At 40.5% G+C, this 13162-nt stretch overlaps 1 protein-coding gene and 1 long non-coding RNA gene across 25 annotated transcripts in view, besides 3 other annotated features; both read left to right on the top strand.

Moving 5' to 3' along the window:
• The window catches only part of GRM8 (glutamate metabotropic receptor 8), an 814344-nt gene that overhangs the window by 593886 nt on the left and 207296 nt on the right, over nucleotides 1–13162 (top strand). The gene's annotated exons all lie outside the window — the stretch shown is intronic.
• Nucleotides 795–844: an enhancer, noted in NCBI's record as "active region_26577". NCBI's record gives its function as "activates an Ori minimal core promoter by ATAC-STARR-seq in GM12878 lymphoblastoid cells {active_cell/tissue: GM12878}" and the evidence as "EXISTENCE:reporter gene assay evidence [ECO:0000049][PMID:35858748]".
• Nucleotides 1025–1074: an enhancer, noted in NCBI's record as "active region_26576". NCBI's record gives its function as "activates an Ori minimal core promoter by ATAC-STARR-seq in GM12878 lymphoblastoid cells {active_cell/tissue: GM12878}" and the evidence as "EXISTENCE:reporter gene assay evidence [ECO:0000049][PMID:35858748]".
• Nucleotides 1385–1454: an enhancer, noted in NCBI's record as "active region_26575". NCBI's record gives its function as "activates an Ori minimal core promoter by ATAC-STARR-seq in GM12878 lymphoblastoid cells {active_cell/tissue: GM12878}" and the evidence as "EXISTENCE:reporter gene assay evidence [ECO:0000049][PMID:35858748]".
• LOC107986843 (uncharacterized) lies at nucleotides 4630–9610 on the top strand. Its single transcript, XR_001745350.1, has 3 exons — nucleotides 4630–5137; nucleotides 7452–7548; nucleotides 9572–9610. It is a non-coding gene; the product is annotated as an uncharacterized LOC107986843 (long non-coding RNA).

The raw sequence follows: 13162 nt of genomic DNA, 5'->3' as shown, positions 1-13162 counted from the left end.
ACCTGGGGGCGGGGCGGGGGGCGGGGCGCAACCATATTAATTACCTACAAGTGTGTTGCCTCAAGGCCTTTGTCTTTATATCTGTACTGAATAAATGACTGTAGCGGCCGCTTGTCAAGGCTGCGGCCTCTGTGACTCTTTACGGCATCCTCCTTGATGTCTGTGAGTGGCTCGGTCCCCTAGCCGCGCGGCCAGGCAAAACACCTGTGTCTGTGTACGTTTTTTCATCTGTCATTTGGCCAGGGTCTGCTGGGCGGGCCCGGCAGAAGACGAAGAGGATTTTTTTTCCAATCTAATATTGGGATTTCTGGTCTTCCTTCTTTACATAAAGTATATTCCTCCATTCCAGTTCCTTAGAGCACATACATCATCCCTGGTTCCCTGGTGTAAAAAGTTGAAGTATTTTGCTCCAGTTGATCTAGAATGTGGTCTTCTTATAAACTGTTAACAGATAAACCCAATGCCACAGGATTCATCTTGGACCAGGTTGCAGTATTGAGTGGACTGTGGACATAGATAACAGGTGATACATGTGCCTCACATTTATCATCCCCAAACTTCTTGGATTCGATGCTCTCTTAGGCTCCTTCCAAGACTGCCAGTTTTAGATCCTATTCTCTGCTCATCCAGTCCTACTCATTGGTTCCAATCACTAGTTCTGTTCTTTGTAAATCATTTTGCTTTCTCCCTCAAGTATAAGGCCAGGCCATTTTCTTTATCTTCTCTTTGGTCTCTGGAGAAGCATGACTTTATTCTTTTTGGAATTTGAGTTCACCAACATTTAGCTTCTGTTCAGAACTGCTTTCCATGACTCTGGGAGCCATAACTCAGCTCATGGCTGATGGACTGTTGTTGGAAATGTGTGGCCTCAGCATATGTTATGCCATCAACTTCACTCAGCTGAATCTCACCTGTTCTTTCTGCCTACTTCTCTTTATTTATTTTTCCTGTTTCCCCTTTTGAACTCATATGACTTTTAAAAGCTCTAGTTCCATTAAATTCTTTCCCAGCGGCTCAGGCCATTCCAGCCAACACATCATCAGCTGCAGGCTGTTGTTTCTTCTTTAAAAATTAATATAACCGTTAGCATCTCTTTACTTAATTTTAGTTTGTCGTTTCCGGCTTTAGAGAACACAAATCTATAATGAGGATTAGGGAGGAGCTCCCCCTATGCATACACAGGCCACAGGCCTTCTTTCCTGCACGCTTTAAATCACTCAGCGGAGGCTCCTCCTCTGTGGGTTTCCCCACTCACTCCACCCCCACCACAATAGCTCACTAATTAAACAACTGAATTCAAAGGTTCAAGTACATTCCCAGCATACACACTATGTCATTAGGTTTATGCAAACAAAGTAGTTTTACTGAATTTATACTTTTGACCTGTTATGTTTAGGCAAACACTTTCTTCCTAAAGCCTGCAGACTCTGGAGTTCAGAAGTTCTGAAATTCACAGAAGCTGAGAGTGATAGAAGCTTGGAACTATTATACATGCCCTCTGATTTCAAAGTTTATGTTCCTAAAGCATTGATTGCCCTAATAATTAGTAAACGTTAGAAATTTATATTTGGTTTACTAATGCTGTGTAATTGTTATCTTGTTTGTAAATTGGAATTGTATGTGACTTTTTTGGGGGGGGGTTGTTTTTACTGCTAAGAAAATATGTCAGTGTCCACTGCTCTATTAGGTTGGTACAAGAGTATTTGCGGTTTTCACCACAATTAAAAACCACAATTACTTTTGCACCAATGTAATATTTAATGTCAAGCAAGTAACTTAAGCTCATTTTTCCTTTCTAAAAGGTTATTTTTGTGTGTACAGGCACAACCTGACTTGATCTCGTAACTTAAGCTCATTTTTCCTTTCTAAAAGGTTATTTTTGTGTGTACAGGCACAACCTGACTTGATCTCTGTGATTCCATATTAATTTCCCTATGCCTTATTTTCCTCACCTAAAAAAATGAAGACAGTACCTCATGGATTTCTCTTGAAGAATAAATAATAGAAACCATTGTAGCACTCAGTAAATATAAATTGCTGTACGAACATTACTAAATCACAGCCATTGTGCTGTCTACATAAGCACTTTTCATTTGGGTTCCTTGCTAATGCATTAATCTGTTGCCAGAGGTAAGACCCTGCAACCGATGTCAGAAGTGGATGAATTTGTTTCCCTGAATATGCCTAGCTTTTAAAGGCTATGCTTACTGATGAGAGGCATAACTTTTTATTATTATTATTATTAATGATAAACACAGCTACTCTGTGAACACAAGCATCTCCAACATGCAGAAATAACCCCTCTCTGTCCAACTGTTAACTCTGATCTTCTTTTAGTGGCTGTGGTTCTGTTTGGTAGGTCTTTTGTTTTTTTATTTTTTTATTTTTGAGACAGAGTCTTGCTTTGTCATCTAGGCTAGAGTGCAGTGGCACAATCTCGGCTCACTGCAGCTTCCGCCTCCCAGGTTCAAGCGATTCTCCTGCCTCAGCCTCCTGAGCAGCTTGGGATTACAGGCACGTGCCACCAAACCTGGCTAATTTTTGTATTTTTAGTAGAAACCATGTTGGTCAGGTTGGTCTCGATCTCCTGACCTTGCGATCCGCCCGCCTTGGCCTCCCAAAGTGCTAGGTTTACAGGAGTGAGCCACTGTGCCTGGCCTGTTTGGTAGGTCTTGCTTCCAAAATAACATGAGGAGGAGTGGAAACTGTTAGCTCTCTCACCAATTCAAATGCCAATAAGATGCCCCAGGCCGTCAAGGCTGGCTTTTGCCTAAGCCCCTCCTTCACATTTCTCACTGTTTTGACTACCAGAAGGAAAGGATGTGTGGGGCACAGTCAGCAAGTTACTCTAGTTATCTTACCCCAATCTCCAAATCCCCAGAACTCTGGCATTTAATGCCCCTTGGAATTATTTTATTGTTATTATTTCTAGTCTATAATTTGTAACCCCACTCTTCCCCTCCCCAACAAATGGAAAGCCAATACTAAAAGTTCAGTGGACAGTTCCCTGAATTTGATGATTGGTAGGCAATTTAAGATAAATTTTATTATTTATGTTACATTACCAGCTATGAAGAAAGGGTTGAGTAGAATATCTATTTCTCTCAATAGGAGAAAGTGCAAAGATTAGCCCATTTTCTGTGTGTTTCTATAAATATAGGTACCCTGGAATGTGATTTTAATGCTATATCTTTCCCTTGTGTCATGCTTTGGAAATGTATCTACCTTGGGAGTCAGTTAAACCACATGTGGATGTTTTAAATAATCCTTGTGATTAAGCAAGTAAAATATCTTCTTTAGATTTGGACCAGCTATTTTGTTTCCATCATAATTTTGGACATTATTTGATAAATTAAAACAATAATACTGATTCAGATGCCTAATATGTTTGTAATGAGATATCCAAGAAAATGTCATCTCATGTGTTTATTTCTAGATAGTATCCATCAGAGATAAGCATGGTTTAAGATGAATGACCAGTAGTTGAGACCAAGAAGGATGATTTATTAGTCCGTTTTAACACTGCTATAAAGATACTGAGACTGAGAGAGAGAGACAGCAACAGAGAGAGAGAGAGAGAGAGAAAGACCATAATGCAATCACCTCCCATCAGATCTCTCCCTCAACACATGGGGATGATAATTCGAGATGAGATTTAGGTGGGGATACAGAGTCAAACTATATCAGATGAAATGTTTTAAATTTTCCATTATATTTAAAAAGATTATGGGATGCAACTGGGATCTCATAGGATAAGTGGATAGAGAAGATGGTGGTATGGAACTCAACCAGATGATCTGATACAGTGGGTTCTGAATATTACATTGAAAACATGAGTGAATGATAGACTGGCAAAGGAATATGAAGAGCTAAGGATATTATTATTGTCTTTATGACAATATAAAAGTTATGAAAAGCACCTTTACGCAGAATCAATCACATTTTCTTCCTGAAAAATAAAAGCAATGTTGTACCATCCATTTTATGTATGTTCTTTTTTTACTTTTCTGGCCAAATTTTCTCAGTTCTGTTTCTTTGGGTCACTTCTTGCATTTGCCAGAGACATTTCCTCCAGTCAATGATTATTTGCATTAGTTCCCTGTGGCTCTTCCTGAATTTTTTCAATGGCATAGTAATTTTTTTCTTGAATATTTCCTACTGCTTTAATTTTCACTCCTGTTTTAAATTCTTCATTAATTAAGCTTTCCCAAGGCTTAAATACCTATAAAACTTTTTAAAACTTAATCATTTGATTTGCCTGCTCAGCTTCCCTAGTCTTACCTGGTTTTAAGACTGTTAAACCTAAAATTGTGCCTGGGAGATGGTGTGATCACAGAAGGGAAAAGAAATGATGACATTGTTATTGAAAGTTTAATGATGAGTTTCACTGGAAAAATCTCCCACTTCAGTGTTCTTTGTGTTTCATGCTGATAAGCCGCTAATAATTTTAAATGCCTTCATTTTAGATTTAATTTATTAAAAACACTTATAGTTTTCAAGTCCACATAAATACTGGGTACAATTCATTCGGGCTAGAAGAAAATGAACCTTACATTGTCCTTTGCAAATGTTGTCGCTTACCTCAGCAAGGCTCTTTGATTTTAATTCTGTAGACCATAAGCCTGCCATAATTTTTCTGATTAAGAATTTGGAACTAGAGGTTGACCTTAAGGATAAAGTATCACATTTTTCTTCAATTTGAAGATAAAGAAATGAAAGCCCAGAGAGGTTAAGTTTGCAGAGCAGGATACTAGCAGAGCCAGAGCAGAACCCAGGGATTTGAATGCTCTGAGGTTTGTTCACACACAAGTCACCAGGGGCGATCAGTATAACCATAAGCCAGAAAGACCATGAGTTGGTCTGAAAAATCACACTTGTCACCTCACCTAATTCAGGGCCAGATGTAGAAGAATAAGAAGAATGTACCTGAATCTGCTTAGGGGTCTAGTTATTTCTATAAATGGGTATATAGAGAGTTCACTTGAATTCTAATGGATGACATTTCCTCTTGACTCTAGGGAAAGCTGTAACTGTCTTATGATCCCACGATATGGACTCTAGGACTATGCTTTTGTGACTTTCAAATCCAGCAGTTGTTTATAGTTTGTGTTATAAGATCTCCTGCCAATTATTAAAGGTATCTTTTCTATTATTTGAAATAGCCTTGTGTTCAATTGTATCCTCTTCTTCCCCACAATGCATATTACCAGGATAGGCTCTGTTACTACTTCTGAAGATGATAAATAGAAATATAGTTTGCTCTTTGATGAGAAAGAAAACAACACTATTGAACTGAAGTGCATTAAAACAAATACCCAGAGTATTCATGGGTATTCTTGTTCCAGATTAATTGCCCTGGACTATTATTTTTATTTGAGCTTTGTGATTTTTGAAGTTTCCATATGTAACAGAATCCCTTTTTTGTTGTAAGCCATAGAAGCAGCTGAAAACTGAACCACTTTGATAAAGTAAGCGTATTTTCTGTAAAGGTTTATGTGCTTTCAGAAACTAATTCTTGTCTATACAATCAATGTAATTTTCTTCTTATTTCTGTTGTAGTTACCTTATTTAATATAATTTGAGACAAAATCAGTTATTTTAATGCAAAAAGGAAAGGGTTTTATCTTCTTATTAACAAGGCCACTTATTTGGCCATTTCTGTGAAATAAATGGTTTGAATGAATCCCCCTAATTGAATATTGAATTGCCTGTTTTAGTAAGGATCACCCTCTCCTTGCCTTTTTTTTTTTTTTTTGGAGACAGGATCTCACTCTGTCACCCAGGATGGAGTGCAGTGGCAATCGTAGCTCACTGCAGCCTCAAACTCCTGGGATCAAGTGATCCTCCACCTCAGCCTCCCTAATAGTTGGGACTACAGGCATGTACCAACACACCTTGCTATTTAAAAAATGTTTCTGTAGACATGTATTCTCACTATCTTGCCTGGCTGGTTTTGGCCATTTTTGAACTCTTTTGATTCTCACACGTTTTATAGAGTTTTCCCTAAAGTGCATAGCTCTTTATTCCTTAGGGGGATCTTAAAATAGGGAGATCCCTATTTTATTGTGATGAGGTCAGTGTTCCTGTGACTAATCACTGAGTTACATATGTCACTGAGGAAAACTGTTCCTCTAAGCTACAGAGATTCCTGACATTGGGAAGGAGACATATAGAGTTAGCCTTAAGCCTGTTAGAATAAAGAGTGTAAGCCTTCTGTATTGGTCAGGGTTCTTTAGAGTGATGTAACTAATAGGATATATATACATATATAAAGGGGAGTTTATTAAGGAATTAACTCACACAATCAAAGGTCCCACAATAGGCTGTCTGCAAGTTGAGAAGCAAGGAAGCCAGTTTGAGCCCCAAAGCTGAAGAACTTGGAGTCTCATGTTCGAGGGCAGGAAGCATCCAGCATGGGAGAAAGATGTAGGATTGGAGGCTAAGCCAGTCTAGTCTTTTCACATTTTTCTGCCTGCTTTATATTCTGGCCATGCTGGCAGCTGATTAGATGGTGCCCACCAGATGATTTCTTTGTCACCCTCTTTGTCACCCAGATGAAGGTAGGTCTGCCTTTCCCAGTCCACTTACTCAAATGTTAGTCTCCTTTGGCAACACCCTCACAGACACACCCAGTATCAATATGTTGCATCCTTCAATCCAATCAAGTTGACACTCAGTATTAATCATTGTAAGTCTACGCCTTGTCGACTTGAACCCATACGCATCTGAGATCACACATTATCTTCAAATAAAGACAATAATAAGGTCATAATTACACGTAACATAATGCAGCTATCCTTCGTACAACCAGAAATGCACCAATCCCCAACCCAAATGCTATTACATAAAGCTAACGATACTTAAACGCTAATATGAAGTAAATCTGATGTCACATGTTAAAAGAAAAAGGAAATAAAATGAACATATTTCCTTAGTACAGGTGTATACATACACAAACATGGTTTTACCAAAAGAAGGAGGAAATACTCATGACAATTACAGTCCTCGTTTCTGCAACTGGTCACATGGTCGTAGCTGGTATTGATGACTACCTTCTACCCATTCTGTATTCCCTTTGCCTTCAGCAAGCACCCCAGCAGGTCATGGTTTTTTCCTGGTGGAGTCACCCAAACCTTCATTCCTGAAGGGTCTTGGCCATTTGTAGTCCTGCCTGGATTGGGCTGTTGTAGTTTCCCATTGACCTGAATCACAGGGCATGGTAATACTAAGAGACGCCGCAATTGATCTACTGTATTCCATGCATACTCTTCTTTACCTTCATTGTGGAGCAGTAGACTGATTTCATCTTGATAGTCTGGGTCAGTCACCCCAGCTAACACTGTAACTCCCTTCTTAGCCTGTTGACTTAAAGGTAGGAGGAGCCCAAAGTGTCCAGGTGGCAATCTTAACATCCAGTTTAATGGAATTATTGTTGTGTTTCCTGGTGGCAGCATTCCTCCCTCTGGAACTAAGACCTCTAGGCGAGCAGAACATAATGTCGCGGTACCAGGAAGCAAAAATTTTGCTGGTGGATCACTAAGGGTGATGGTGAGTGCTGCCACTTCGACTTCCACCCCTTGATTCCTGGACCAGTGAATCTTGGCTATGGGAGAAACAGTACCATATATAGGACGCCGATTCAGAGCATACACAGCCTTCCAGAGGACTTTGCCCCAGCCCTGCAAAGTATTGTCACCTAGTTGGCATTTTAATTGTGACTTCAAAAGGCCATTCTGCCATTCTGTCAATCCAGCTGCTTCAGGATGATGGGGAACATGGTAAGACCAGTGAATTCCATGAGCATGAGCCCACTGCCACACTTCTTTGGCCACAAAGTGAGTGCCTTGGTCAGAGGCAATGCTGTGTGGGATACCATGACAGTGGACCGGGCATTCTGTGAGTCCATGGATGGTAGTCTTGGCAGAAGCATTGTGTGCAGGACAGGCAAACTCATATCTGGAGTACATGTCTATTCCAGTGAGGACAAACCTCTGCCCTTTCCGTGATGGAACAGGTCCAATATAATCAACCTGCCACCAGGTAGATGGCTGATCACCTCAAGGAATGGTGCCATATTGAGGGCTCAGCATCAGTCTCTGCTTCTGGCAAATCGGGCACTCAGCAGTGGCTGTAGCTAGGTCAGCCTTGGTGAGTGGAAGTCCATGTTGCTGAGCCCATGCGTAACCTCCATCCCTGCCACAATGGCCACTTTGTTTATGGGCCCATTGGGTGATGACGGGGGTGGCTGGGGAAAGAGGCTGAGTGGTATCCATTGAATGGGTTATCCTGTCCACTTGATTATTAAAATCCTCCTCTGCTGAAGTCACCTGTTGGTGAGCGCTCACTTGGGATACAAATATCTTCAGAGTTTTTGACCACTCAGAGAGGTCTATTCACATAACTCTTCCCCAAATTTCTTTGTTGCCAATTTTCCAATCATGCTTCTTCCAAGTCCCTGACCATCCAGCCAAACCACTGGCTACAGCCCATCAATCAGTATATAATCACACATCTGGCCATTTCTCCTTCCATGCAAAGTGCACATCCAGATGCACTGCTTGAAGTTCTGCCCACAGGGGAAGATTTCCCTTCACTGCTGTCCTTCAGGGATATCCTAGAAAGGGGCTATAATGCTACAGCTGTCCTCTTTTGGGTGGTGCCTGCATATTGTGCAGAACCATCTGTGAACGAGGCCCTGGTCTTCTCTTCCTCTGTCAACTGATTATAGGGAACTCCCCATGAGGCCATTGGTGCAGGCTGGGTGAGAGAAGGCAGGGTGGCAGGACTGGGGACCATGGGCATTTGAGCCATTTCCTCATATAACTTCAGGACCTGCTCAAACCCAATCACATATATACTACTTCCATTTGATGATGGAATGCTGTGGACATGACCCACTTTGTGAGTAGGTGGGTCAGAAAGCACCCAGTTCATGATAGGCAGTTCAAGTGATAGGCAGACGTGGTGACTTGATGACCCATAGTCAAATATTCAGTTTCCACCAAAGCCCAGTAACGGGACAAGAGCTATCTCTCAAAAGGAGAGTAGTTATCTGCAGGAGATGGCAGAGCCTTGTTCCAAAATCCTAGAGGCCTCTGCTGTGATTCACCTGTGGGAGCCTGCCAAAGGCTCCAAATACAATCCGTATCTTCTCCTGATACCTCAGGCACCATTGGATCTCCTGGGTCATATGGCCCAAGTGGCAGAGCAGCTTGCACAGCAGCCTGTACCTGTTGCAGAGCCTTCTCCTGTTCTGGACACCACTCAAAACTGGCAGCCTTTTGGGTCACTCGATAAATGGGCCAAAGTAACACATCCAACTGAGGAATGTATTGCCTCCAAATCAAATAGGCCCATTAGGCGCTGTGCCTCTTTCTTGGTTGTAGGAGGGGCCAAATGCAGCAACTTATCCTTCACCTTAGAAGGAATGTCTCTACTGACTCCACTCCAGGTACCAAAATCTGTATTAGTCAAGGTTCTCTGGAGGGACAGAACTAATAGGATAGATATATATATAAAAGACAGTTTATTAAAGAGTATTAACTCACACAATCACAATGTCCCTCAACAGGCTCTCTGCAAGCTGAGAAGCAAGGAAGCCAGTCTGAGTCCCAAAGCTGAAGAACTTGGAGTCCGATATTTGAGGACAGGAAGCATCCAGCATGGGAGAAAGATGTAGGCTGGGAGGCTAAGCCAGTCTAGTCTTTTCATGTTTTTCTGCCTGCTTTATATTCTGGCTGTGCTGGCAGCTGATTAGATGGTGGCCACCCATATTAAGGGTGGGTCTGCCTTTCACAGCCCACTGATTCAATGTTAATCTCCTTTGGCAACACCCTCACAGACCCACCCAGAGTCAATACCTTGCATCCTTCAATCCAATCAAGTTGACACTCGGTATTAACCATCATACCCTCTTAAGTGGATCTCCCTCCTTTGTCTCTGTTATCACATTTATAATAGATAATTCACATTTGGGATCCACATTTTTTAGACATAGATTAAGATAGTGTGATGTACTTGACTAAGAAATGCACCAAGCTAACATAGCTTCTAAAAGTGAGTCTATGATCATGAGACTTTCTTCTCACAGCCATTTCGTAAATGACTGGCAAATGAAGTCTCCAAATTATATCATCACTGTAGGGATGCCACAGAAGTAAAGATAACTACTCCAGTAAATATGGTGGGAATATGGTGTTTCCCTATATTCTTCATCTAAGGATTATATTGCTCTAATAAATAGGTCTTAATATCAGTGTCGTTCAGCATTTGTTCATTTAAAGATATTTAAATCATAGTAAATTTTTCTGTTTGAGTTTGTGTGTATGTTTCAGATAATGGAGTTTCTAGATATGCAACTTGTTGGTATCTATCAGCAAATGTCATCCCTGATCCAAAAGCATAAATGCATCCAGTCATCTGAGAAATTAGCCAGATTTGCCTTTTGGTTTTGAATCTCAGCTAATGAATCTGTCCTGTTAGACAGTTCTATTGTTCTTACCCTTCTCTTTAGAGCTGTGACAGACACTGCACAAAGAAAACTACTACAGACCACAGAGGAATCATGGGTGTTGTGATTGAAAATAATTAATTCAAACATTGAACAGATATTTTTGAACAGCAACTCTGTGTACCTGGCACTACATTAGGCATAAAATACTAGAGATAGATAAAATAGAACAATTGTCATTTCTTATGAAAATCAGAAAATTTTTACTAAAATGACAATTTTAATGAAAATCAGACAGATAGGGAGGATAGATAATAATCACATTAAAAATCAGTGATTTCTGTGAACTATGATAGGTATATAGGGGATGGCTTGAGAGAGTGTAATAAGGACTCTTTGGTGACACTGACAGGATAAAAAGGTCTCTCTGAAGTTTGCAATGAGGTCAGATCAGGTGGGCAGCACCTTCCTGGCAGAGTAAACAGCTTGTGCAAAGGTCCCAAAACAGAAAAGCCTATCGGTTTTAAGGAGGTGAAATGAGGTAGGATCCTGGAGAATTGAATGTGAGATGGCACATATGATGCAGCTAAGGAGCTAGCCAGAATCTAAATTGTTCATTGTTTTGGAAGTGATAGTAAAAACTTTGGATTTCTTCCAATGTACAATGGCACACCATTGAAGAATTTTGATTAAGGTAATTACATGATTTTGTTTCTAGAAATTTAGTTTGCTATGAAGAAAATGCATTGGAAGAGAACAACATGGGAAAAGGGTGAGACATTTTACAAGCAGATGTTTCGGTGCATTTGTGAGATAATGGTGATTCAACTTAAGGTGGTAACAAATGCAGAGAGAAATGAGTGGACAAATTTGAAGTGTATTTTGAGGCAAAACTGACCACTTGGAAAATGTATAAAGAGAGAGCTTTCAATGATGGCTCCAGATTCTTCATGTAAGCAACTCTGGATGGTGTTTCCATATGCTAAGAGGCAAGTGGTTTGGAATGGAGGAGAGGGAGCTTGATAGTTCATTTCTGCATTTTTTAATTTGTGATGGCTATGAAATATCTGAGTTGGAATGTCAGGGGCGTAGTTGAATATATGAATCTGAAATTTGAAGAAGGGAATAGGCTGAGTTAGATATTTGACTAGAATTTTTCATTGCAAGCAATAAAAGCCAAATATGGCAAATTTAACTCGTAAGATATATAGATATATAAATAGATATATTTATATATCTATTTATATCTATCTATATCTATATCTATCTATCTATCTATCTATCTATCTATCTATCTATCTATCTATCTATCCATCTATTTATGTAGAGAGCAAGATCCCCCTAAATCCTTCACAATAAATGTGCTTATACATTTGTTGATTTAGGGGGGTCTTGCTGTGTTGCATAGGCTGGCCTTAAGCTGTGGGGCTCAAGCAATCTTCCCACCTCACTTCCTGAGTAGCTGGGACTGCACGCATGCACCACTGTGCTTGGCTCCTAAAGGAGATTTATTAAAAGATACTGTGAAGTTTGCAGACCTTCCAGCATTACCCACTGGGAACAAGGCCCTAGAATCACCCCCTAAAAGTCATCTGAGAAAGACAACATTGCTGCCACCCCTGGGCAAAATCATGATGGCTCAAAGTAAATATAGCACCAGCCCTGGCCACTGTATGCAGGAAATGGGACAACCATCTCTCTTCCTCTGGAGAGTGTTGTTTAATGAAATGCAACATGAGAGAACAATTACAGAAGAATAACACCAAGAGTATTACCAGCTATAAAAACTGACAACTGTAGAATCTTTGCTATGTGCCAAGTACAAGATTAAGCACTTTACATGGATTATATCATTTAATCACTACAAAAAGCCAATGGAGGAAAATAATTGCTATCCTCATTTTATTGATGAGGAGGTTTAAAAGTTTATAGATAAATCCAGTGTGTGGTGAGCCTTGGATTCAGACTTACCTAAGCCTGCAGAATGCCTTCTCTTAAGCATGTGGGTGGTATCACACAGCTGAGAGGCCATTGTGAGGAAGAACTGATAAGCCTCTCCTGGTTTGGCAACATGGACACAATTTGTAGCCTTTGAAATGGAAGTTTCAATGCTGAGAGAGGGAGGAAATTACAGAGGGATGAAGGATGAAGGAAGATGGGTTAGTGAGTGGAGATAGTCTTTTAGGTAACTTTTTTGAGACCTTTGGCTGAAAAGAAAAGTAGAAAGATACGGTGGTAGCTGAAGAAGGATCAGGGTATCAAAGGAACTTCCTTCCTTCCTTTCTTCCTTCCTTCCTTCTTTCCTTCCTTCCTTCCTTCCTTCCTTCCTTCCTTCCTTCCTTCTTTCCCTCCTTCTCTCTTCCTTTTCTTCTTCTCTCTCTTCCACCCTGAAGTCACTTCTTCCTTTAATCCTAAAGTAAACCAATCTGCATTTGAATGCAGATAGGTTAAGTGTTGGCAGGGAAGAAGAGGTTAAGAAAGCAGTAAGACATAATAACTTGTGAATAGAGGCCCCTGGGCATGTGGAGGGATGATGACCAGAGTGCAGTGGGATTGACCCTTAATGTAACACTTTCTCTCTACTTCAGCTCTAGAGACAGAGAGGGAGGGGGTGAGTAAAAGACCTTGAAAATTCAGTTGTGGAATAAAAGTAGGGGCTATGGTGTATGACTTCTATTTTCCCTGGTAAAATATAGGGTAAGTTCATCAGCT

This window comes from Homo sapiens, chromosome 7 (assembly GCF_000001405.40).
Source record: "Homo sapiens chromosome 7, GRCh38.p14 Primary Assembly".
Lineage (NCBI taxonomy): Eukaryota > Metazoa > Chordata > Mammalia > Primates > Hominidae > Homo > Homo sapiens.
Note: the sequence above shows the minus strand (reverse complement) of the source record. Positions and strands in the feature narration are given on the sequence as shown.